Consider the following 27,922-nt stretch of genomic DNA (forward strand, 5'->3'; position numbering starts at 1 on the left):
GTCTAAAACCCCTCCACATGTGGCGTGTGCTGTGTGTGGACTTGCTGGTGGAACATAGAGGTTATATGTGTTGTTCTTTGAATTCTCATTGCATTGGGATGGGAGGAAGAATGAAATCAGTCATTCAAATATATGTCTCTTCATATATTCAGCTGACTGAATATGTCATTCGGATGGCATATATTCCTCTGTGCCATGTCTCCCTTTCAATGGAGCTTACACCTGTAGGTGTGGGTCTTCTCCACACCTGTCTCTGTCCTCCATGTCCGTCAGGATTGCAGAAGGGAAGAGAAGGCAGCCACATCAGCTTCCTTCTTCATCCGACTTAGGATCCCCACTGGCAGCCCAGTGCTCACTCCACACTTGGTAAATACCCTATACTTGTATGTTCCTAAGTTCCTCCAGATGAAAGAAAGTGGCCTCTTCTTCTAGGACTGTTTGGGGAGCAGCACTGTGTGAAGCTCTGTGGGGCCTCTCCCAGGTATAAGAGCTCACAGTCATTTATGTCTTCTTGCCCTCCTCCCTATCTTCAGACAACTCCTGCCCACCTACACAAGGTTGAGTCCCAGGTAGCGTGGACTGAAGAGCAGTAAGCGAGGCCCCTCCTGGTCCTTTCTCAGAAACCTTGAAGTCTACTTGAAGGCACAAAGGGCAAGGTAACACAAAGAGCAAGGTAACATGAAGAGCAAGGTAACAAGAGCACAACACTCCCTTTGGTGAGCGTAGCATACATGGGGTAGACATCACTGGGTGGCTGATGCTCTGACCTGGGTCTTCAAGGAGAAAAGGACAATGAGGATTGCATATGGGGCAGAAAAATCAGTCTGGCTGGAGAGGGAAACTCCTATGTGGGACCAAAGGCAGAGAGAGAGAGACAGAGAGACAGAGGCAGAGAGAGAGAGAGAGAGAGAGATTGAAAGAGAGAGAATGTACAAAATAACACAGGGTAAGCAAGGCACTGAATGAGTGACAGACATTTGGACAGAGGCGGTGTGGTGTGCTAGGAAAATTAATCAGACATTGGTATAAGACTAAGAAGGATGACTATACCACTGTAAGTCTTCACATAGGACCTTGCAAAAATGTTTAACTTAGCCAGAACTCCAGTGTCTCTGAAGGTCAAGTATGAGTGTTAACAAAAAATGATTTTTAAAAGTTGTTATAGACATGGTTTCTTTGTTCAGATAATTTCACTCATCTGAACTGCTGGCTGATAGGTATTTCTTATTAAAATATGATAGCTTTATTGTTACTCTTACTCAACTAACATTGTTTTTCATCTTTTAAAGACAGCAGTACCTTTTTTTGCAAAGCATCTCGCTGTTTTTTGAGTGTTTCCATGAATGTGAGTTCGTGGGAGCCTTACAACATCTCTCTTTAGAGAGGACAGTCTGAGGTTCACAGAGATAAGGTGGGCAGCCCAGTGAGGCCGCACTGTGAGTGAAGGCCAGGGCGGAGATTCAGAGGCAGGTCTTCTGCTTTCCAAACTGTCTGAGATTAGGACCTCAGTGTTTCTGGATCTTGTACCTGGGTCGTGGTTTTCTGTTTTCCTTTGATACAGACTTGATCATTTCTCCATACTCAATTGTGTTTGACAGCCAACAACCAGGGTGCCAGGGCCCTGTTGTAAACCTGTAGGAGCTCTATTTTGATAAGACTAGCCATAATTTATTGCTGCTTTAACCTCTCTGTTGCTTAGGCAACCAATATCCTGAATTAAGACTTGGGTTATTTTAGTTAAGTTTAAGAATTTATTACCTTCCAACCACTCAGCCCACCACTTTGCTCATGCTCCATGCCTGTGAGTCACACTGACCCCCGAAGAGTTGCCCCAAACTCTAAGACCTGTGCTCGGGGGCACGTGAAGAGCCAGGACACATGCCTTGTGACTCAAACTGACAGCGTCTGCTCATGTCCTTGCTAAGTGCACCAAAGGGAATGGGCCGAGGAATGCTCCATGTTGATTTTTCAGCTGCTTGCCTTTTATTGCTGGATTACTATCTACTGCAGAATAGGCCAGCTTATTTCACAATAATGAGGCTGGCACTGGGTTAATTCTATAACATAGAAAGATTGCCAGTGCCAAGGTGTCAGTCTGTTCCGGCTGTTATAACAAAATAGACTGGGTGGCTTATAAACAATAGAAATTTATTTCTCATGGTTCTGGAGGCTGGCAGGTTCAAGATCCAGGCAGACTGGGTGTCTAGTGAGAACCCACTTTCTGGTTCATAGATGGCACTTTCTTGCTGTGTCCTCCTGTGGTTGAAGGAGCAAGGCAGCTCTCTAGGGTGTCTTTTATAAGGGCACTAATTCCATCTGACATAATCACCTGCAAAAGGCCCCACTTCCTATTGCCTTAGGGGTTAGAATTTCAACATATAAATCTTGTGGGTTTAGTGAGGAAAATAAACACACAATCTAACCTTTCCTGGACTGCTTGCAGGAGCATCAAGTCCTCTTGCTCTTCCATCTTGTTTAAATGTCCCTTCTTTCCCAACACCACTCTGCCACTCCGTCCTGAGCTCCCAGCACCGTTTGGCTGGATGACTGTGCTCATTTCTGGCCTTCCTGCCTCCACCTCATCCCGGCACATCATTCACCAAAGCAATATTTCTTTGCAGTCTGCTCTGCCCGGCATTCTGGGGATACTGAATAGCTCACAGTCCTGTAGAAGAGAAAGATGAGTAAGCAGTAATTGCAATGCATTTATTAGACCGTAACCTCCTAGGACAGGTCATGTTGGTCTTGCTCTCTGCACCTAGTATTTGTTGAATAGGGAAATGAATAAACAAATGAACAATTTCTGCAGGTTATAACTAAACACATATTCAAAGAGCTATGAAAATCCACAGAAGACAGAAACTGACTGAGTTGGCAGAGGAAAGGGATGTGCTTAATTAGGCTGCAGTCTCTTTGAGAGACTACAATTTATTTATTTCCTGTATACATAGACCAGGCATTCATAAATATGGTCACTTTTTAATAGAAATATTTTATATTTTGGGAACATCTTCCTATACATTTTATTTACTCACAGGACAAAAGTAATGTTCTCCTTTAAATAGAAGCTTTTTGGGGACCTGTAATTGTTAATTTGTAAACCTTTACTTACTTGCTAGAAAGTATGGGACAGGGTCAGAAAGAAACTGGAAAGTGCCGCCTGTAATCCCAGCACTTTGGGAGACCAAGGCAGGCGGATCACTTGAGGTTAGAGGTTCGAGACGAGCCTGGCCAACTGGTGAAACCCCATCTCTTCTAAAAATACAAAAAAAAATTAGCCAGGCGTGGTGGCGGGCACCTGTAATCCCAGTTACTTCGGAAGCTGAGCCAGGAGAATCGCTTGAACCCAGGAGGCGGAGGTTGCAGTGAGCCGAGATAGCGCCATTGCACTCCAGCCTGGGCAACAAGAGTGAAACTCCATCACAAAAACAAACAAACAAACAAAAAAAGAAATTGGAGAGTGCCAAGTATAACTATCAGTTGTGGTTCAATCAGAATGCAAATAAGTATCTTTGGGTAAGTAAAAGGAAAACGATACTTTGATTTACCCAACACTTCGATTTCAAAAATACATTGACTCATTAACAAACAATTTTAGAGAGGCTTAAATACTAGTGAATATGTTATTTTAAGTCAGTAATATATATATATATATATATATATATATATTTTTTTTTTTTTTTTTTTTTTTTTTTTTTTTTGAGACGGAGTCTCGCTCTGTTGCCCAGGCCGGACTGCGGACTGCAATGGCGCAATCTCGGCTCACTGCAAGCTCCGCTTCCTGGGTTCACGCCATTCTCCTGCCTCAGCCTCCCGAGTAGCTGGGACTACAGGCGCCCGCCACCGCACCCGGCTAATTTTTTGTATTTTTAGTAGAGACGGGGTTTCACCTTGTTAGCCAGGATGGTCTCGATCTCCTGACCTCGTGATCCACCCGCCTCGGCCTCCCAAAGTGCTGGGATTACAGGCGTGAGCCACCGCGCCCGGCCGTCAGTAATATATTAAGAGATGTCATGAGTCTATAAATGTAGCAATTGCACATGGCTGGCATAGAAATCTCAACTTCAATATGTGATGTTCAAAGTCCAATTTAAAGGGATTTTAATAATTAGCCATAACTAATAACTAAGGTAAGGTTTGTTGTATCTTGAATCTTAAATGGTTGCCATGTGTCTGTTTATTAAAAATAGAGTTTCCTTTTTTTCTTTCTTCATTCACCTTAAGTAAAAGTCTATTATAGCAAAAATGCAACAGTGGCATCCTGTGGCTTGGCCTGTGAATGACAGGTGCGTGTCACAGTTGTGATCTTGGAGGCTTGGTGTCATGGCTACACAGAGGTACAGGATCATTGTGAAGAACATGGCATGTTAGAAGGAAAAGCTCCATTACTTTATTTAAGACGTAAAATTATTATAAATGACTCATTATGATCTTTTATCTTTATTTCATGGGAGTAAATTGCATGCATAATTAAAAATTGAGTTGAGAATAAAGCCACAGAAATGTACTTGTTTTTTCAAAAGCTTATTTTTCCGGACTCTATGATGAAGTTTCCCTCTGTCATTTTTACACATAGAATATACCATTATTTCCTCTCATGTAATTCTTCTGTAAGTGTAGGAAATGGAGTGAAAGAATCCATATTAAACCATTAATAACTGTAAATACTTTATCTCTCCACCCCCCCAGAAATAAATACAACTAAATCTCGGAAGCCTTTTGATTGTGATGCTTGGCTGCTGAGCCCTCTACGCTGGAAAGGCAGCACTATCATATTTAGCAGTGCGTGCTTCCAGCTTCAAACTTTAAAAAATAGTTTAAAAACATCTTCAGGGGCCGGGCGCGGTGGCTCACACCTGTAATCCCAGCACTTTGGGAGGCCGAGGTGGGCGGATCACGAGGTCAGGAGATCGAGACCATCCTGGCTAACATGGTGAAACCCCGTCTCTACTAAAAATACAAAAAATTAGCCGGGCGTGGTGGCGGGCGCCTGTAGTCCCAGCTACTCGGGAGGCTGAGGCAGGAGAATGGCGTGAACCCGGGAGGCGGAGCTTGCAGTGAGCGGAGATCGCGCCACTGCATTCCAGCCTGGGCGACAGAGCGAGACTCCGTCTCAAAAAAAAAAAAAAAAAAAAAAAAAAAAAAAAAAACTTCATAAACAACATACAGTTATACTTTTTCTTATTTAAAATGTTTACATAAGTAGAATTATGATATTCACATTCCATGAAGTTTTGCACTGAAGATGTGGTTGAGGTCTCACGTACGCTTATCTTGTGTGAAGGAATGTATGGAATATGAATGCCATAATTTTACTTATGTAAATTGTAAAAATAAGAACAAATATATATAATAAAGACCTTTGGATTTCTGCTTCTGAGGACTTCCTGTTCTCCTTCCCTCCACTTTCCTATGGGCGTGCTTCTGTTCTTTATTTATCCGAGTTTTCTCCATTAAAGATAAATTCTCTGATAAGATAAATACAGTATATATCTTTATTAATTCCTTTGTTATAGATCCTGCAAATACCTTCTCGAGGCCTGTTTTTTCCTCTCTAACGTTGATGGGGTATGTTTTGTTATAAAGATGTTTTCTGTTCTGCAGGGTTGCGTGTCAGTTACAGTTGTCATTTGTAAGCAGTAGAATCCGGTCTGACCAGTTTAAGCAGAAAAGAACTTAGGAGAGACAGAAGGGAGTTCACACAACGTTTGGGACAGATGGGAAAAGAGGCCTGAGACAATGAAAGGGACACTCCCAGAACCAACTGACCCTTTCCGGAATCTGCTGCCCACCCCGGGACCACACCGCCTTTGCCCAGAATGCGCCACTGAAATGACAGCGGCTCCCGGAGACGCGCAGCCAGCCAGCTCCCTCCCGCGGCCCGAGGCCCCCGTGTCTGATTGGCAGGCCTGGTCACGTGCCCGCATTTTGGCTGGGAAAGAGTCAGGGAAGGCACCGATTCAGATTCTCCCTTGGGGAAACAACTAAAATGCACGCAAGGTGGCCTAAAAAGCTTGGCAGATTCACTTTGGGCCATAAAGATATTCTTCAAACTTAAAAATAAAAAAATAAAAATAAAAGAAACTAAACTAAAAAATATCTTCATGAACAACATACAGTTATGCTTTGTCTTATTTAAAAATTTTCCATACATAGAATTATGATATTCACATTCGATGAAATTTTGCATTCAAGATGTGGTTGAGGTCTCACGTCTCAGTAGTGTTTAGTTGCGATTTTTCGTGCTGAGGTCTTTAATTCTTCTGGAATTAATTTTTGTATAATTAGTGTAGGAGTCTTTTATATGAAAAGCCAATGCTTCCATCATCAATGATGGCACAAGCTCATCTTTCCCTGCTGATCTCTAGTGCCACCGCTATCATATTCCACATCCCACGTAGCCCCTACATGTGAATCCTGCATGAACATGGATTTGCACCAGGCTCTCTATTCTGTCCGCTGCCTCTTCCTCTGCTCAGACAACTATATTTTAATTTCTGTGACTGTCTAGAATGTTTCAGAATCCGCAGGCCAACTGCTCCTGCCCACCCATTGTTCTTATTTTTCGAAATTATCTTGGCAATGATAATTCACTTTTCCATATGAATTTTAGAATCACGTTACAAATGAACAGAAAAGTTCTGCTGAGATTTTATTTGGAATTTACTTAAATTTATAGATAATTTGGGCAGAATTGACATGTTTATGCTTTTGAGACCTCTTACCCATTATTCAGATCTTCTTTTATATCCTTTAATAAAACTATAATTTTTTCCCATAAAGCTCTTAAAAATGGTACGTAATGTATATTCTTTAGGTCCTTTATAGTTTTGCTGCTATTGTGAGCTGGCTTTTTTTTTTTCCAATTTTTTCCCATTTGTTATTGTTCACATTCAAAAGTTATTGAATTTTGCATGTTGATCTTGTAATCAGTAGCCTTGCTGAATCCTTTTTTAGTTCTAAAAGATTTTCTGTTGATATCTATGCATTTTCTTTGTTCTTTCTTTCTTATTTTATTTTATTTATTTATTTTTTTGAGACAGAGTTTTGCTCTTGTTGCTCAGGCTGGAGTGCAATGGTTCGATCTTGGCTCACTGCAACCTCTGCCTCCCAGTTCAAGTGATTCTCCTGCCTCAGCCTCCTGAGTAGCTGGGGTTACAGACACGTGCCACCACACCTGGCTAATTTTTTTGTATTTTTAGTAGAGATGGGGTTTCACCATGTTGGTCAGGCTGGTCTCAAACTCCCGACCTCAGGTGATCCACCTGCCTCGCCCTCTCAAAATGCTGGGATTACAGTCATAAGTCTCCGTGCGCCACCCATCTATGCATTTTCTATGCCTAAAAATAATAAATTTTCACTTCCTTTCCAAACCTTATGCATTTTATTTATTTGTTGCTTACTGCATTCGCTAGTATTTTCTGTGTAAAGTTGACTGGGGTGGTGATGGCTGCCCTGCTTGCCTTTTCTTGGTTTTAATAGGGATAATCCAGAAAGATGTGATATGATTGCTTTAGGTTTTTGATAAAAACCCTTCATCAAATTAAGGAAGTTCTCTTCCATTTCTAGCTTCCTAAGAGTTTTTCTTTTAGATAAGAGAAGGTGTTGAATTTATAGAATAAAATGTGTCATTTTATTTCTTTTTGATCTATAAATGTTGTAAAGTTCTCCTGATGGATATTTCTGACATTCTTACCTTCCTGGGAAACATCAAAATTAGTTGTGATCGTTAAAAAAAAAATACTCTGGTTGGATTCCATTTGCTAATATTTATTCAGGAATTTTAATCTACATTATAAGTGAGATAACCTATAGTTTCTGTCTCTTGTACTGTCCTTGTTTCATTTTGGTGTTAATTCTACACTATCTAAACTCAGTGGCCTACTGTCCTTTTCTGTTGTCTGGGAAGCTTATATAAGATAGCAATGACCTTTTCCTTAAAGGTTTGATGAAATTCACTGCTGAAATCAGCTAAGACTAGTGTCTTTTTGGGGAGGTGGCTTGAGGGCAGGTATATTTGATTGTCAAATCAATTTCTTTAATGCTAATTGTTTTATTCAGTTTTTCTATTTTAAAATTCAGCCAATTTCAGAATAGACATAAAATTGTGCCACAGATTCCCTTATGATTTTGTTTCTGCTGCATATGTGGTTACATTATATTTTCTATTCCTAATGTTTATTTGTTCATTTTTCTTTATTTATCAGCCTTAATGGGGATTTATTTTATTAGCATTATTTTTCTTTTCTAAGACTCATTCTGTCATTTCTATTTTACTTTTGTTTCCTTTTCTTATTTTTTTGTTTTTATCTTTAATATTTCTTTCCATCACATTTTTTTTGCCTAAACTCGTTGTTCTTTTTCTATCTTCTTGAATTGACATGAGTTCATTTATTTCATCTTTCTTATGGTTCTAAAAATATTTGTAGTGCTATAAATATTTCCCTTAACTATTGCTGTACCCTAAGTCTTGGTATTTTTCTGTGCTTTCATTAATAATCAGTTTTAAAATACTGTATTATTTTTAACAGCTTCATTGAGATATATTTCACACCCTATACAACTCATCCATTTAAAGTGTATAACTCAATGGCTTCTAATATATTCACAGAGTTGTTGATATGGTTTGGCTGTCCCTACTCATATCTCATCTTGAATTGTAGCTCCCATAATTCTCACGTATTGTGGGAGGGACCCAGTAGGAGATAACTGAATCATAGGGGCAGTTTTCCCCATACTGTTCTTGTGGTAGTGAATAAGTTTCATGAGATCAGATGGTTTATAACCATCTTTTCGCTTGGCTTTCATTCTGTTTGCCTGCCACCATGTAAGATATGGCTTTGCTCCTCCTTACCTTCCGCCATGATTGTGAGGTCCCCCCAGCTATGTTGAATTTTGAGTCAATTAAACCTCTTTTTTTAAATAAGTTACCCCATCTCAGGTATGTCTTTATCAGCAGTGTGAAAACGGACTAATACAGTTGTACAACCTATCATCACAATCAACTTTACTTACTCAGTTATCAGTTGATGCATACTTGGGTAGTTTCCAGTTTGGGCTATTATAAATAATGCTGCTATGAACATTTGTGTGCAAGTTTTTGTGGACATGTGATTCATTTGGCGTGAGTATATATGAGGAGTAGAATTGCTAGGTCATTTGGTAACTTTATGTTTAAGCTTTTGAGGAACTGAAGACTGTTTCCGAATGACTGTACCATGTCAGTGTAAGAGGGTTCTAATTTTTCAACATCCTCACCAATGCTTGCTATATTTGTCTTTTTTACTATAATCATCTTAGTGGCTGTGAAATGATATTTCGTTGTGGTTTGATTTGCATTTCCCTGATGGATATTTAAGGGTACTCCGTGATACTGGGTTGATCATTCTATTTCCAGGTGACTTCACTTCTAGGTATTTTTTCATTTATGTTTCCTAAAAAATTAATTTTTAAAGAGAAAAATCATCATAGGATACTCAAATTTCCATTTTAAATTTAAGATCACAGGGTTTTATTCTTTGGTTTGTATTTGGATCTCTTTTTCTCTCACATTGAAAATCTGGTTTCTAATGACATTAGCATAATTACATATTTGTTTCATTCTACAAAATACATATAATAGTTTCACAAGAACAAAACCAATATTTAAAAATTTTGTTCTATTCTTTTTGTCCTTATTGTATGCCAAACTGGATGTACAATTAGATTACTGCAATGCACCAAATTGGTGGTTCTTAACAGGAAACAGCTGCAATCCTAAGAATCTTTGAGAAGCGTCCATCAGCTGTCTAAGCATGCAGCAATGAAGCAGGTGGTTCTCAAGTATTCACTGGGCATATCAGGTCTGCCCCAACACCTGGTTACATCCTTATTTGGAGACTGATAGCCTCAACTCTTCCCCTACCAATCAGATTTCATGGGACTGCAAACTTTAACACAGAGTAATACAGAGAAGGGGATGCTGGGAAATGCAGTTTCAGGCTTCTACCTTACACAATTCAGAGAAGACTGTAGGAGGAAGTGGTGATGATGCCAAGCTGATACAGACACAGACACATCCATTCAGTGCATCAATCTTTATGTCTTCTCTTGTCTTACTAGCCTCCAGGAAAATGTTGAATGGAAGTACTGAGAGTGAACATCTTTGTCCCGTTCTTGATTTTATAGGGCATGCTTCCAACAATTCTTCTGTAAGGATGTTTTTTGTACATACTTTCTCAGGTTAAGGAAGTTTATTCACTTCTAATCCTAGTTTACTATGTTGTTTTTTTTTTTTAAATCATGAGTTAGTGTTGAATTTATCAAATGCTTTATCTGTAACTATTGAAACAATCATATGATCTTCTTTCTTAATCTTTTAAAGTGGTAAATATCATTTGATTATCTTTTCATCCTGAACCATCCTTGCATTCTAGGGATAAATCCTAAATGATTTTTTAAAAATAGATCTCTGGATTTCGTTTGCTAATATTATGTTAAGACTTTGATAATGTCTGTGATTGAGATTGGCTTGTGATTTTCCTTTCTTATCTTCCCCTTGTTTGGTTTTGGCATCCAGGTTTTACTAGTTTTATGGAATTCTTACTACAGCCACAGGCCCTGCATGAGACAGGCCATCACTACTTCTCTAATCGCATTTCCTACCACCCTCCCTGTTACACACTCTACTCAGTCTTACAGGTTCCATGCTGTTTCTCAGACAAATGAGTGCACATCCCCGCCTGACCACCCTCTCTTAAAGCTCTGTCTCCTCAATCTCTTTCATTGTTCTGCTTAGCTCTTATCATTACCTGATATATGATCAACTTACTGTGTTCTGTCTCCCTCCCTCTTCCAGAAGGCAGTGTCTATGAGGGCAAGGACTTTGCCTGTTTTGTTCCCTGTCATTCCCTCAGCACAGTGAACCATATTTATCAAATAATAAATATTTGTTCATCAGTGAATAAATGAATATATTTATCCATGTTTGAAGAAAAGAGGAAGGTTTCTGTACGTGATCCACTCAGAAGTCAGATTTTTCATTTGAAAAAATTGTAACTTCTATTTATACTAGAAAAGGGAGGAAATTCTTACACATAAGCAGCATGCAGAGAAATACTGCTGAAGATATCAGTCTGCTCTGCTGCAGCTGGTAGCAGGAATAAGACTGATTGGCCAACTGTCCATTCTATTCCAAACTTTCCTTGTCTTTTTCCAGCATCTCAGTTGGTTGAAATTCTTTGCTTGAGAAAGAGACCTACGTTTTCAGTCCTGAGGAGTTTGAGTCCTTGGTGATGCTGCCCATGTGGGGTTGATGTGTAGTGCTTTGTTAACCTTGACCATGAAGCAGGCAGTACAGACATCCTAAGGGGTACCCCTGGGCATCCATGAATACTGCTCCGGCTCCCACTGTGTAGCTCTCCCAGCGCCCTTGATAGTGCCAGTCTCTCCAGAAATCACTGGGGCCTCCCTTCTTGCTTATCCCCTCCATGACCTGAGGACATTGAAATGCCAGGCAGCAGTTTCAATGTCTACTCAATGAAACTGGTAATGGGTTCACAGCTGTGGGGATTGTTATTTAACTTCCTATGTGTGTGTTATGGTGTTGGGGAAAAACAGGCATGCAGAGTATAGCTATAGCTCTTTCTATCATCAAATGGCCCTCTAGCAATTCCACTCCTAGGTATATATCCAAAGGAATTGAAAACAGCCAGGAGCGTGTAGCCTGTGCTTGTAGTCCCAGTTGTGCAGAAGACTGGGGCAGGAGGATCACTTAAGCCAGGAGTTTGAGGCTGAGTAGGCAATGATGATTGCTCCTGTGAATAGCCCCTGCACTCCAGCCTGGGCAACATAGCAAGATCCCATTTCTTAAAAAAAAAAAAAGAATTGAAAACTGGTGACCAAACAAATCCATGTACCCACATGTTTATAGCTGCACTATTCACAATAGCCAAAAGGCAGAAACAGCCCAGATGTCCATCAATAGATGAATGGATAAACAAATTGTGGCATAGACATATAACAGAATATTATTAAGCTATAAAAAGGAATGAAGTACTGATTCATGTTACAATACGGATAAACCTCAAAAACATAATGCTAAGTGAAGGAAGCCATGCACAAAGGTCACATACTATAGGATTCCATTTATTTATTTATTTATTTATTTATTTTAAGACAGAGTCTTGCTCTGTCACCCAGGCTGGTGTGCAGTGGCACGATCTCGGCTCAGTGCAACCTCCACCTCCCAGGTTCAAGCGATTCTCCTTCCTCAGCCTCCTGAGTAGCTGTGATTACAGGGGTGTGCCACCATGCCTGGCTAATTTTTGTATTTTTAGTGGAGATGGGGTTTCACCATGTTGGCCAGGCTGGTCTCAAACTCCTGACCTCAGGTCATCTGCCCACCTCAGCCTCCCAAAGTGCTGGGATTACAGGCATGAGCCACCACGCCTGGCTGGGATTCCATTTATATGATATGTCCAGAAGAGGTGAATCCATGGAGACAGAGAGCAGGTTAGTAGTTGCCAGGGGCTGGGGAGAGGAAAGATTGAGGAACAACTGCTTGATAGGTACGGGGCTATTTTTTAAGGTGATGGAAATGATTTGCAAATAGGCAGAGGCGGTGGTTGCACAATATTGTGAACATATAAAATGTCACGGAATTGTTCACTTTAGAATAGTTAGTTTTATGTTTATTGTTGTTGTTGTTGTTGTTGTTTTTTGAGACAGAGTTTTGTTCTTATTGTCCAGGCTGGAGTGCAATGGCACAATCTCAGCTCACTACAACCTCCACCTCCCTGGTTCAAGTGATTCTCCTGCCTCAGCCTGCCAACTAGCTAGGATTACAAACATGTGCCACCATAACCAGCTAATTTTGTATTTTTAATAGAGGCAGCATTTTACCATGTTGGTCAGGCTGGTCTCAAACTCCTGACCTCAAGTGATCCACACGCCTCAGCCTCCCAAAGTGCTGGGATTACAGATGTGAGCCACCGTGCCCAACAATTTTATGTTAAGTGAATTTCACTTCAATAAAAACAGATGAAACCCTCTACGTTCTTACATGCAGAGATAGTCATTGCACATTTAAGAGACAGATTGAATGAGCATTTGTCTTTGATGGCATATGTGCTATAGAAACTCCTTTGAGAGAGCTGTGTTTTTAGTGAGAAATTAACACATAAACAAAATCATTTTTACTTATAAGCCTGGAGCCCCGTGAGACATCATTTATGTAGTGAGTGTTTTAAAGCTGAAGTAGCAGCCTACATTTTTGATGGTTACAATTGGTCCCTTTGAAGAGATGATGCCCTGTGGATGGAAGCAGCACAGCACAGTCCTTGCCCTCACCCCCACCTGCCAGGACAGCACGGGTGCCCTTTCCATGACAAGACCCTTTTCAGGATCATGATACAGACCAATTAGGTAGAGGCAAACCCAGATGCGTCTCAATTTGTCAGAAGCCTTGCTCTGTTTCCCCTACGTGGGTGGGGTCTGATAAAATCCCATATAGGGTTTGGCGGGGGTAGGGGGGCATTCTTCTTAGTATTTACATCCCAAAAGGAGTTTTAAGGGACATTTAATTTTCATGTTTCTGGTTCATTTCCCTTTAACTCATCAAAATGAGATTACGAAAGATTGCTTTGATCTTTAACAGGACTTGTTCACAGGAGACATGAAACCATTACCTTCTAAAAGGAAAGCTGTGCGTTGCCAAGAGTTTGGGGAGTTAACAGCATGATGTTTCAGCTTCGTCTGGGGCTCCAGACCCTTGATACCTAACTGGGTCCTAAACTTGGCTTAGGGAGGCCTCCCGACCTCCAGCCTAATAAAGCCCATTAATTAACTGTCAGGCCAGCTGTGTAACAAATGAACTTTTAGAGGCTGTGCCATTTTCTTGGTTCCAGGCCAGAAACTATCGTATAAAACTCACACCACTAGTGAGACATTTCAGAGGAAAACTGGTACTTGCGTAAGTGTTCCCTTATGAGTCAAATGTGCATCACCAGATGCGTATTTTTTTTTAATTAAAATGTAAATAACTCTGTTCCAGCAGCCTTTTTTTGGTTCTTCCAGATACTCTACACTTGAGCATGAGTGACTATGAGGCTAATTGGAATCTCTCCGATTGCTTTAATGTACGTGGACTTCGGCACTCAGGGTATAAGGACGGGAAATAAGAATATTATAAAATGATGACCCAAATCCCTTCTTAAATGAACTTGAACTATCTTCTGGTGAGATGATATTTAAAAGGCACGAGATGGGGGTTGCAGTTACAGTTCTTTAGTTTGTCAGTAGTAAGAACTGAGTCAGGTCAGTTTGAACATAGAGAGGAATTTGTTGCAAAGCTATCAAGGTGTTTTGCAATGTTAAAGCATGAGTTGGACACAATCCCAGGCACTGGAGCAGCTCAGAGGCCTCCACAGCTGCAGCTCCTGATGCTCCCTCACTTTCAGATGGTACTGAGGACTAAAAGCAGAAATGTCATAGAGAGTTAGGCATGGGAGAAGATTCTGCAGAAGGTTGAGAGGACAGGCTAGGTAATCTATGACCATCCTCCCAAATAAGGTGGCTACACAGCAGTTAAATATTTAAACAACCAGGGAGAATGCTTGATGTCATCCCTTCTTCAACAGCCCCAACACTTGGGCATTCAGCATCTGTTTGAACATCTTCCATGATGGGGAGCATACTACTTATGAGGACAACCTATCCCCATTATTGGACCATATGACATAAGAAAAAGTCATTATATTGAAGGGAAACTTGACTTATACCCTTTGGCCTGCCATCTAGACTTTGAGCACATAGATCAAGTCTTACTCAGTATCCACATGATTGTCTTTTGCATATTGAAGATAAATCAACACACAGTCTTCCTAGAGTTTTCTCTTATTCTAACTCAAGCGTATTTAATGCCTTCAGACAGTTTTCCTATGATGGTGGCTTTCACTCTGTCCAACCCCTTCTGCACATAATGGCTGTTTTAAAATGCAGTAGCCAGGATTTGATATATACTCCAGACGTGGTCTGGACAATAAGCTTCTAGGCCTGCGGCTTTGAATTGCATTAGCATCACTTCATTGGCTCGGGCTGTGCTTGCAGGCTATTCGTGAACCATCGCCAGATCAACTCTCTCCTGTTATATTTTTGTGCAATTAATTTTTAAAACACAAATGCAGGATGGTATACGAGTCAAATAAAAAAGGCACAATGAGTAGTCTTTATTCAGATTATTTTGATTTTGACCCTGCCTTTCATTATACTAACTGTCTTCCTACCACCAATTAAAAGACATAGATTCTATGTCTAATTCAAAGTCATTGATGGGAAAAAAATATTGAGCTGATTAGGGCAAGTGCAAAGCCTTTTGATCTAGACAGAACTAGCAATGTCTCTACAAATGGACACTGAGCAGTAGTCTCTGAGTACAGTTATTAAACCATCTATGAATCGTCCCAAATTCAGGCTATCTCAGAATGTGTCTGATAGAGGAACTGCTCCTCTAAATATTGATAAGACTTACTTTTAAAAAAGCTCTTGGCCGGGTGTGCTGGCTCATGCCCGTAATCTCAGCACTTTGGGAGGCCAAGGCGGGCAGATCATGAGGTCAAGAGATTGAGACCACCATGGCCAACATGGTGAAACCCCATCTCTACTAAAAATACAAAAATTAGCTGGGTGTAGTGGCGCACACCTGTAATCCCAGCTACGCAGGAGGCTGAGGCAGGAGAATCACCTGAACCTGGGAGGCGGAGGTTGCAGTGAGCGGAGATCGCGCCACTGCACTTCAGCCTGGTAAAAGAGCGAGACTCTGTCTCAAAAAAAAAAGAAATAAAATAAATAAATAAATAAATAAATGAATAAATAAAAAAGCTCTCAGGGTCTTTATTATTGTTGCTCCCAGGGACTTGTTAAGAATGCGGACTACTTTGTGTTATTGCTCCCAGGGACTTGTTAAGAATGCGGACTACTTTGTATATATGTGTCTGTATGTGAGGATATCTTCTTATGGAGTCCCATAAAACACACTCGGGAAACAGTGATCTAATTATGTTACCATGCAGCATGCAAGTTTCCAGTCTGTTCCACTGGGATTTAAATGAGAGGCTTTATCAAGTGTTCTGCTGTAATCGTGATATGCTATAGGCATAGTGTGTATGTCTGTGTTCTTCCAATCTATTAGCTCTATCAAAGCAGAAAATAAGGGGAAAGAATCAAGAACTGAGCCAGAGAGTTGAAGACTAATAAAGGTCCATGTTGACCAGGAGATTTCAGGGACATGAGATCCTGGGTCTTGGAGTGGCCCAAACGTCAGGTTGAAGAATGAAAGACAAAGATTGAATCATAGGTTGAGTCATTTACCAGTGAAGATCCAGAAGAAAACCCCCAAAATGGAGGTCAGGACAATCAGCTGGTGTGGTCATGAGCAGTGGCAGCTGAGTTTTAAGTCCAAATCCTGTGGCATCGGCTTCACCCAGTGTGGCTGAGGTGCTTCCAGAGTGGCCACTGGACCTGTTCCCTGACAGCCAGAGTTAAGAAGCTTCTTTCTCTTTGCTACCTGCTACGATTGTGCTGTCTACCCTCGCGGGGTCTAGCATGTCTTTGTCCTTCTAAGCTAGGGATGAAAATAATAAACTGTTTTTGTGGCCTTTAGGATAAACCACAAGCCTTGATTACTTTGGGCTTGAGTTCTCCTTTGACATGCTTCTTTTTTCTGCCTTCTTTTTAAAATCCCATCTTTTTATCTCTAATACATTTATTTATTTTTGTCTTTTACTTGTTCTACGTACTCAATATTAACACCTACATTTGTTCTTGGACTTAAATGGCAATATCTTATAGCTCGATTTATTAATGTTTGTAAAATAGGTGTATTCATGGAACATGCATTTTAGTATATTGAATGGTACTTTTAACATCTATAGGGAACTTGAAATTTACAGATACTTCCTAAGGATCTTTTTCTTTAAAGTTGAAAAATGCTTTTGTAGATCATATAACCTCTAATTTGCCAATTTTGTAAGTCTGTAGATTTAGTTTTTTTAAAAAAATCATGGTTAATCTGAATCAGTAAACACTACATTTTGAAGTTTAACAAGTAGCAGAGTGTCTGATCAGTTGACTAGAATTAATTGGTGTGATTTTAGGACTGTGTACGGCTTTACAGTATGATTTAAGATTGGCACTTAGTAAATTAAGTGAGATTATTTTATAACTACGCATAGTAGAAGGCTGACTCTTAATGTGTGATGTACATGATGGAATAATAACCCTACAGTAGCCCAGATTGTTCTTTCTTTCTTTTTCTTCCTTTCTTTCCTTCCTTCCTTCCTTCCTTCCTTCCTTCCTTCCTTTCTTTCTTTCCTTCTTTCTTTCTTTCTTTCTTTCTTTCTTTCTTTCTTTCTTTCTTTCTTTCTTTCTTTCTTTCTTTCTTTCTTTCTTCCTTTCTTCCCTCCTTCCTTTCTTTCTTTCTTTTTAAATAGAGATGAGCCTCACTATGTTGCCCAGGCTGGTCTTGAATTCCTGGGCTCAAGCAATCCTCCTGCCTTGTCCTCCCAACGTACTGAGATTACAGGCATGAGCCACCATGCCCCAGCCCAGATGGTACTTTCTGTTGTTGCCCTTAACATTACGTATTCATCCACCAAGTATTATTGAGTGCCTAGAATATTCTGGAAACTGGGAATACAAATGCCCCTGGTGTAATTCACATCACACAATTACTTAGAGTCATTCACTGTCAGGCACCCAATCCTACCTAATTAACATATTAGGCACCCAAACCTAATATGTTAATTACTAACTAGATAGGGACGAGCAAAGTCTAAGGAATTGATCAGGCCTACAGGCATTCTAGAATCAAACTGGAAAGATGTACAAATGGGACCTTCACCGATGATGGAACCCAAGCAAGGGCCTGTTCCTTGGACGTGGAAGGGGCCAAGATTCAATGTTGAGTCTATGGGAAACTGACAAATTTAAGTCCAATTCTAGTCCTGTTTTGGTAGCTAAGGGGATAAGAATAAGAATAGATAACATCTACTGTGTGCTCCCTGTGAGCCAGGCATTGTTCTAAGCACTGTGCATGTATTGATTCCTTCAGTCCTTATAACACCCCTATGATATAGATTCTGTTATAATGCCTGTCTTATAAATGAGGCTTCTGAGGCACAGAGAGGTTAAATATTTTACCCAAGGTTGCACAACATGTAAACAGCCAGGCTGGAGCCCAATCCAGGCAGTCTGTCCCTGGAGCCTATGCCTTGGTGGTCACAGGGCTAAAGCGAGGAAACAGTTGGTGGACAGCCTCTTGGCTCTGTGAAGATGCGCAAGTGGAGATATTATTAGGCGCTGCTGCAAATCACTGAGTCAGGATCTCAGCCTTTCTCCCCCACACAGATGCTCTTGATTTACCCAGTAATAACTTAATCGAATGATGTATACACACCATGTCCTGTTGGAACGAGTAAACAGCAACTTAGTTCTGGTGTGTTATGAAATAGAGATTTTAAAAATCCGAACGACTTGTGGCAAAACGGGTTTTACCCTGGGAATGGAGAGAGAGAGAATAGCTCAGGTCCAAGGAACCTCACGCGCTCCCTGTTTAGAATTCTGCCTCCCCCACCCCATTGTACACTTGACTATCTCCCACATCCTCATAAATCTGAGTGCCCTGGGTGTCTGGATAATGAATGAGAGATGGGTATTGATGGATGAGTACATATGAGATAGGACATTTAAAAAGTGATTCATTAACCTAGGCAACCCTTTATAGCAAAAAATATCAAAGCTAGGGGTTATCTTTTTAAAACACAAATCTGGCCATTTGTCCCCTCTGCTTAAAACTCATTAATGGCCCTCTTCTACCCACAGGGTAAATTCTTAATGCCATGCCTTGCTCAAGGCCCTCCCAAGGTTGACCCCTTCCCCACTGCCCCCAGCAGGCCCTGCATACCACAAATTCCGATCAGCTTCTGATACCCCATGGCCTTTTCTCCCTACCTCTGCACCTCACCCTCCAGCCTCCTGTTACCCAGGGTTCCTGCTGCTTCAGTCCCAGCTCAGATCCGCCTCCCAAGGAACCTCTTGTGTCAGACCTGGTGCTGAGACAGCCAAAGCATCCGGTCCAGCCCAGGCCAGAGCCAGGAAACCCTTGTGATCCGGAAAATTAGAAATGTGGTCAAGGTCGGGACCCGGAACTGAGCAGGCCTTCGGTGGGCTGTCCCAGGGTGGAGACCAAGGAGAAGGGGAGGCTCAGCCAAGACTTTCACCCAGGGCAACGAGGGGCAGCCAGTCCTACGGGGTCACCTTCAGGGCTCAGTGGCTGCAGTTATGATACTGAAGGGATAAGAGGAGTCAGAGGAAGGGAAGAAACCCCGTATCTGGCCAGGCGGAGAGCTCACTGGTTCTGGAGCAAAATCTTTCGGGACAACTGCAACAGGGCCGGGAGAGGTGAGAGCTCAACAACCTCAACGGAGGCAGAGAATCTCACAGCATCACCAGAGGTACGGAGTGGGGATGGCCTCTAAGCTGACATCTCCTGGACTCCACTTCATTACCAACCTATACTGAGAGCCCATTGGATGGTTCTTAAGAACACAGGAGATGATAGTGAATTAAAGCCCCCCAAGGATGGGCTGGTAGATTTCCAGCCAGGCACCTACTTTGCAGTTCATGTTATTCTTGTTCACTCATCTGTTCAATCCACAATTTACGTTTGTGGCCATGTGTCCCAGGCACTGTACTCTGGGCTGGGCGTGCAAAGCAGGAAAGACGGCCCCTGCCCTCCAGGAACTCGGGGACCCCTGGGCACCCAAGCACAAGGAGGCACAAAGGGAATCCTGGTGGTGTTAAGGGAGCCGCAGGGTTGATCAGAGAAGTGTGGAGGCTTCTTCCACAGGGGCTCACCCCGGGACTTGGCTTGTCTTCCCTCTCCTGGACCGGTTCTTCTCACCCGACTCCTCTGGTTCAGATTCGACTTCTCTATCGGGGTCTGCCTCAGCTTCCAGCTCCTCCACGAAGCATCTCCTCCTCCAGCTCTCAGCTGTCTCTCTCTTCCCGGCATTTGCACAGCCATAGTGACCTGTGGCATCAAATTAAGTGCTTGAGTAAATTGTTGTGTTTGGCTTTTTTTTTTTCTCCTGACTAGATTGGAAATGACTTGAGCCTAAAGGTTACATCTTATCTATTTATTTTAGAGACAGGGTCTCACTCTGTCACCCAGGCTGGAGTGCAATGGCATGATCACAGCTCACCGCAACCTTGAACTCCTGGGCTTAAGCAGTCCTCCTGCCTCAGCCTCCCAGGTAGCTGGGACTACAGCGAGCACTATCACACCTGGCTAATATATATATATTCTGTAGAGATGCGGGAGGGGTCTCACTATGTTACGCAGGCTGGTCTCCAAATCTTGGCCTCAAGGGATCCTCCTACCTTGGCCTCCCAAAGTGTTGGGATTACAGGCGTGAGCCATTGCACTCAGCCAAGGGGTTATACATCTTATACTTTGCTTTATCTGCGACAGTGCTTAGGACATAGTTAGTGTCCAACTAATGTTTGGGGTGGGTAAAAACGATGTAAAAGAAATTCTCTTTCTTTCTCCCTGCCTCCCTTCCTTGATCCCTGTCTCTCTTCTAACCTCTACCTCTTTCCCCCTCCTTCCCCCTCCCTCTCCCTCTCTTCCTTCTCTTTCTCCCTTCCATCCCTCTTTCCAGGATTTCAGCAGGCAGATTACACAGACTGAGCTGAGGACCTATGAGCCCCCTTTCTGGCTTGTCCAGGAAGGCCTCGTTGGGGAAGTTCTTTGGAGGGTGGAAGGAAGGATTTTGCAGATGGAGGACAAAATCAGGCTGTGGGCCTTTGGAGGAGGCAAAATTATCATTTGCATTTCTCTGTGGAGTGAGAACTCTGTAATTTCAGATTTTGCCTAATTGCTGTTTAGAGTTCCCCGGGCCGGCTGCTCTTCAGGCAGGCGTGTGTTTGTGGGAGAGGTGCACTGTTAATGGCTCTGAGGCTCTGAAGCTCCGTCCAACTATGGCTTAAAGGTAAGATGACTCAGATAGGGAGCGGGTCAATTCCAGAGTTCTGCTTTTCTTCAGGAGCGCAGATTTGTTCAGCCACAGGGAGGGGAGGAGAAGCTGGCGCTGCTGAGGAGTCCCAAGCACATATATTATTTGCAGGCAGCATCTTTGGTCTGTGACAGCTCCAATTTAAGCTCTGAGCAGCTGGTAGCCAGAAACCAGGCAACGTCAAAGACAGGCACATGCGTGTTCTCTCTTTAGCCATGGGCTCTCCCGGCACATGTGTGCGAGGCCGCAAGACTGTTTCTCATTTGCACCCTGGACATTTTGGAGAGTTACCTACTTCCTTTGAAAATTATTTTCAAGTGTTCCTAAGTGCTAGTGAGAATGACACACAGGCTGCCTGTGCCTGGGGAGGAACTGGGGCTACGGGCTACCCTCTCCCTGGGCTTCCCACGTGGATTCAAACTCAACCAAACCAAACCAAACCAAGCCTGCTCTGTCTCCCTCCATCTGAGGTTGGGTTGTCACCAGCAACTGATTTTTTTTTTTTTTAAGTAGAGCACATTAAAGGACGAGAAGGTATGGCCATTTTAATCTATCATTGGCAAACACCTTGGCAAATGTGAAACAAATGCATTTTGCTTTCAACTTTTTAGTAACTGGCAACTCCTTGTGCTTTTGAGTTAAGGCCACAGGGGTGAATGCCACAGGGAGTAGTTTCAGCTGGGCAGGGCCCAGCTAGGAGTGGGTGCTCTCCAGAGGTCGCTGTCCAGGGCCACGGCTGGATTCGGACCCCTTCCCCTCTGGCCAGACCTCTACACAGGCCAGGCCTGGCTGAAATGAACATCCTGGAAGTCTTGAAACGGACAAAAGCACATCAGAGTTTGCTGCCACACATGCAGGGCTACACACAGAGCAGAGGCTACTGGTGTGTGTGTGTGTGTGTGTTTATGGTAGTGTGATATGCATGATGTGTTGTGTGTTGTATGTTATGTGTGTGATTTATGTGGTGTGTATGTGGTGTGTCTTTGTGTCTTTGTGTGGTTTGTGTGTGGTGTGGTGTATTTGTGCGTGTCTGGTGTGGTCTATGTGGTGTGGTGCATAGTGTGGTTTGTGTGGGGTGTGTGTGCATGTGGTATGGTGTGTTTGTGTATTTGTGTGTATGGAGCATGTTGTGTTTGTATTTGTGTGTGTGTGTGGTGTATGGTATGGTGTGTGTGGCATGGTTTGTAGTGTGTGTGAGTGTGGTATGATGTGAGTGTGGTGTCATCTGTGTGAGTGTGGTGTGTGTACGGTGTGTAGTGTATGAGTGTGGTGTGGTGTGTAGGATGAGTGTGGTGTGTGTGGTGTGTGTAGTGTGTGTATTTGTGTGTGGTATGTAGTGTGTGAGTGGATGTTGTGTGTGTGGTGTGCGTGGTGTGTGTGAGAGCGTGGTGTGGTGTGTAGTGTGTGCATTTGTGAGTGTGGTGTGTGAGTCTGGTGTGTGTAGTGTATTTGTGGGTGTGGTATGTAGTATGTGAGTGGGTGTAGTGTGTGTGGTGTGTGTAGTGTGTGTGAATGGGTGTGGTGTGTGTGAGTGTGGTGTGGTATGTAGTGTGTGAGTGGGTGTGGTGTGTGGTGTGTGTAGTGTGTGTGAGTGTGGCATGGCATGTAGTGTGTGTGGTGTGTGTAGTGTGTGTGTGAGTGGATGTGGTGTGTAGCATGTGTACTTCTGTGCATGGTATGTATTGTGTGAGTGGGTGTGGTGTGTGTGGTGTGGTGTGTGTGTGGTGTGTGGTGTGAGTGGGTCTGGTGTGTGTGAGTGTGGTGTGGTATGTAGTGTGTGTATTTCTGTGCATAGTATGTATTGTGTGAGTGGGCGCAGTGTGTGTGGTGTGGTGTGTGTGTGTGGTGTGTAATGTGAGTGGGTGTGTGTGTGTGGTGTGTAGAGTGGGTGTGGTGTGTGTGAGTGTGGTGTGGTGTGTAGTGTGTATTTCTGCGCATGGTAGGTATTGTGTGAGTGTGTGTGGTGTGTGTGGTGTGGTGTGTAGTGTGTGTTTGCATGTGTAGGGAGGCAAGCACTGTTGACAGGAGTGGCGTCCTGTGGAGAGCCAGCCCCCTCAAAATTGCAGAACATCACCAACAGTGACCATGTATTGAGGACACATGAGGACATGCTCGGCACACATGTCCTTATTTAAATCTTGGAAAGAATGTGGCAAACCCTTTCACAACCTGTGAAACCCTGTGTGGCCCAGTTCCTAAGAGGCCACAGATAGTACCTAGGCCTGTGAGGAACCGGGCCATGCGGCAGGAGGTGAGCAGCAGGCGGGCAAACAAAACTTCCTCTGCATTTACAGCTGCCCCCCATCGCTCACATGACCACCTGCGCTCCGCCTCCTGTCAGATCAGCGGAGGCATTAGATTCTCATAGGACCGCGAACCCTATTGTGAACTGCACATGGGAGGGATCTAGGTTGCGGCTCCTTAGGAGAATCCAATGCTTGATGACCTGTTGCTGTCTCCATCACCCCTGGATGGGTCTGTCTAGTTGCAGGAAAACAAGCTCGGGGCTCCCATTGGTTCTACAATTATCATGAATTGTATAATTATTCCATTATATATTACCATGTAATCATAATATAAAGTGCACAGTAAATGCAATGCACTTGAATCATCCTGAAACCATCCCCCCCGGCCCCTGTCCGTGGAAAAATTGTCTCCACGAAACTAGTCCCTGGTGCCAAAAAGGTTGGGGAACATTACTGTAAAGTATCACTCTCCCACCTTTATAGATGAGGAAACTGAGACTCAGATAATGCACTAGTTTCCTAGGGCTGACACAGCAAAGCACCACAAACTGGATGGCTTAAAACAACAGAAACGTATCTGTCATAGTTCTGGAGGTTGGAAGCCAGAAAGCAAGGTGCCAGCAGGGCCATGCTCTCACCGACTCTAGATGGAACCTTTCCTTGCCTCTTCCTGGCTCCCGGTGGTTGTTGTTGACCCTCGACACTTTTTGGTTTGCAGCTGCGTCAGTTCCATCTCTGCCTCTGCCACCGTGGCATTCTTCTCTCTTATGAGGTATCTGTGTCTCCTCATAAGAACACCAGTCATGTTGAATTAAGGATCCACCCTACCCTAGTAAGACTTTATCTACTTAATTAATATCTCAATGACCCCGTTTCCAAATAAGGCCACATTCTGAGATACTGGGGATTAGGTCTTCAACGTGTCTTTTGGGAGACACAATTCAACTCGTTAAACATAAGGAAAATATCTTGCTTAAGATAACCCTACCTGCAAGTGGCAGAGAAAATTTGAATCCAATGCTGACTCCCAAACTCCTTTTCTTTTCTGTACACTAATTTATGCAATTGCATTGATTGATGTGTACAATTTACTTAGGTTCATTTAAGCTTTGTATTTTCTTTCCCACAACCCCCTTTGCACCGGCAGTTTCTCAGCTGCTATATTGCCCACATAAGATTTCCTATGATAGCTTTTCTTTCTTTTCATTAGCTCTCTCTTAGCTGAGTAGGAAGATGGAAGGTCAGGGCTGAGGAGCTAAGTCAGACTCAGGGATGGTGTCTGTGCCAGAGACACAGAGGGATCATGTCCAGTCAGGAAAAGAGAAATCAAGTATTTCAAACAGAGAGGATTTAACACAGGAATTGGTTATAGGAGCATTGGATTGGAAAGGCTGAGGGAAAGAGAGAGAAAGAGAGAGAGAGAGACTACAGTAGGAACAACAACAAAAAAAGACAGAAGCCATTAGTAGGAAATCATAGGTGGGCATATGGCAGCCAAGGTATCTGGAGAAACTTCTTTTATATAATGAAATCCCTCTTATATAATAGCTTGTATGGCAAAAGAAAAGGAAGCCATCAAATCCCCCAAATGACAGAAGAGAAGACCAAAGTTGTTGTTTGTTCCACAGGCATTTGTCATCCATGGTGGGCTTGACCTTGGGTTTTAAGAGGCTATGCCCCTGGTGGCAAAGGTTAAGCCCAGCACCACACAAGATAGAATGTTAGACCAGAGCTAGTACACAAAGCCGGATCCCTGAAGAGTGCCATTCCTGAACGAGAAAAAACGCCCAGACAGAGAAACACGAAGAATACTTGCTTATCTAGATCTTAGCTCTTGGTAAAGCGACAAACCAAACCAAAAGTTGCCCATGAAAAGACTCCCAAAAAAGTCTCTAATGAAAGAGGTTATACCTATTTATTTTCATTCTGACACTTGCTGATTGGGAGAGCTCTTGACTTATGTTTGATAGCAGGAAACTGCCTACTCAGAAGAAAATAGGTTACCTGCTTGGGAAAAGAAAGATCTAGAAAATCAAAAATTTTTAGTTATTTTGGTTGTCTTTTGCTTCTTGTTGTTGTTGTTGTTGTTTGTTTTATAGCATTTCTAATCCAGATTTTTATACTTCTTATACAAGATTATTTTTCTTGATAGAAAATAATAGAAGTTTTTTTGTTTTGTTTTTTGCTTTTGTTTTTGTTTTTGTGATGGAGTCTTGCTTTCTCGCTCTGTTGCCCAGGCTGGAGTGCAGTGGTGCCAGTATCGGCTCACTGCAGCCTCCGCCTACTGGGTTCAAGTGATTCTCCTGCCTCAGCCTCCCGGGTAGTTGGGATTGCAGGCATGTGCCACCACCCCAGCTAATTTTTGTATTTTTAGTAGAAACGGAGTTTCACCATGTTGACCAGTCTGGTCTCGAACTGGTGACCTCAGGCGATCCACCCGCCTCGGCATCCCAAAGTGTTAGGATTACAAGCATGAGCCACCATGCCCGGCAATAGGAATTCTTTTTAGAAAGAGAGAAAAATACATCAATTTAAAAGGGAGTGTGTTGTCCATGTATCTCTACTTGTAATGGGTGAAGAGTTGGAAAGTTGTTAAATAATCCCAGGTTCCACGCAGCTTCGTGGAAGCTGTCCCCTTCGACAGGCACCTGAACCCTTATTTGGATGTCATGGAGATGCGGCAAGAAGCTCGTGGTTTATCTTTAACACCAGTGATTTACACTAAGAATTTACTTTGGGCATTTCAGTGATGTCTTGTGGAGCCTGAACTAGGCTATCAAAAATAAATATGTAACAGTATTTTCCTGCAAGGAATACTGACGTACTTAAAATAAGGCATCCTTGGCAGGCAGTGTAAAGTCAGAGAGCTCCTGCCTTCAGCCCATGGTTCCAATTAATACGCTTCCAATAGCATCATAGCTACAACCTTGAGGATTTCTATCTCCCACCTGGACTAATAAATTGATCTCTTAGAAACAAGCTGTGAGCACAATTTTAAATTTAAATAACTATGTCTCTCAGATTGCTGTGCTTTCAGTCACGATATTAGCTCAAATGAAGGACATACTGAATTGAATATCTGGCTATGTTGGCAGAAGCCTTCAGCCTAATCAAAAAATTTATGGGCAGACAAATTTGCTCGGCAGCCAGACATCTTCTCTAAATCTAGACATACAAGTCATTTAACCACTGATCTACAGTGTCCCTGAGCTTCCTCGAGGTCAATTAGAGGACCTTATCCATTTAGTTCAGCTTCATGACTTTAACAAATGATTTGCTGTTTCTTTTTTTTTCTTGGTTACCAGAAGCTAATAAAAACTTCACGGAGATTTAGAGACAACTAATGACATCAGGAACGTTGGCTGCCATGCCTACCTGCTCTAGTTCTCGTTTGGAAATTCCCCATGCTCAGCTGTGAAAGAACAGAATGGAAACCAATCAAGGGACGGGGGATATTGATATCTAGCCTACATGGATGGAGAAGACATCGAAAGATAGGGAGAATGACATCACAAAACCTTCAATGCCTTCCAGTCCACAGGGAGGCGGTCACTCACAGATGCAATAACCTTTCGGGGTCTGCCTCTGAAAACATTCAGTGAAAGTTGGTGACTTGGTTCATTTTTCAGGCAAAGAAATGAAGGCATGGGTTGAAAATAGACAGAGCTATAAGGCTTTAAGAGTGGCAGCTTTCTGTCCAAATTCCAACAAAAATAGTTATCAGATCTCTCTCTCTTTTTTTTTAAAGGCAGCAGGAGAACATAGATCCAAAATTCTGTGTAATCCACTCAACTAAGACTATAACAACAACAAACAGTTCTATAGTGCAGTTTATGTTATTCTTGGCAGAGCTCAGATCTCAGGTGACATCAAAGGTGACTACATAGATATATATACAATGAAGTCAGCTTATAATTCATTTCTATTAGATTTACAAATTTAAACTGCTTAGGGCTTACAAGTTTCCGAGAGACAGAGAATACCACAAAGAAGTGGATAGATGGCAGATGACACATGCGAGACCCAAAGTGCTAATTTCCTGAATATACAAAGAGCTCTTACAAGTTAATCAAAAGACAAATAACTCAATGAAGTAATGGGCTCTTGCCTATGTTATGAATATTTTCATCTGGTATGACATTTACTCTTTGATTTCATTATTTTTGTGATTTTCATAGGCTTGTATTTTATGTAGTCAAATCTCTATGTCTTTCTATCACTTTTGTGTTTAGAAGGACGTTCCTCCTTCTGAAGTACACATATTTGATTTTGGATTTGAGATGGCATTCATTTCTGATCCATCTATAAAGTTTTTGGTGTGTGGTTAAAGGTAAAAATAGACTCACATTTTCCTAAATAATTAGCCAGTTGTTCCAGCTCCATTTATTGAGTGGTCCTTCCTTTCCCAACTGATGCGCGGTGTAACCTTTATCATATATTAAATACTCATGTGTGCTAAAAATAAAAAGTCATTTCAGTTGAGTGCTGTGAATTAATCCAAGGAGTTTGCAGAGGTGGCGTTTGCAGCATGAGATTGTCCTTCCTTTCCACTCCTCCCCAGAGACTGAAAACAGAGGGAAGGAAGCCAGGGAAACATTAAACAAGGTCTGCTGCTCTGGATAA

General features: G+C 42.3%; 1 long non-coding RNA gene across 1 annotated transcript, besides 1 other annotated feature; it reads left to right on the forward strand.

Moving 5' to 3' along the window:
• Positions 4,321 to 4,370: an enhancer, noted in NCBI's record as "active region_13439". NCBI's record gives its function as "activates an Ori minimal core promoter by ATAC-STARR-seq in GM12878 lymphoblastoid cells {active_cell/tissue: GM12878}" and the evidence as "EXISTENCE:reporter gene assay evidence [ECO:0000049][PMID:35858748]".
• Positions 19,079 to 27,781, forward strand: LOC105372161 (uncharacterized). The gene is made up of 3 exons (XR_935570.3): positions 19,079 to 19,490; positions 20,927 to 21,029; positions 26,605 to 27,781. It is a non-coding gene; the product is annotated as an uncharacterized LOC105372161 (long non-coding RNA).
• The last annotated feature ends 141 nt before the right edge of the window (positions 27,782 to 27,922 follow it).

Source organism: Homo sapiens, chromosome 18, assembly GCF_000001405.40.
Source record: "Homo sapiens chromosome 18, GRCh38.p14 Primary Assembly".
NCBI lineage: Eukaryota > Metazoa > Chordata > Mammalia > Primates > Hominidae > Homo > Homo sapiens.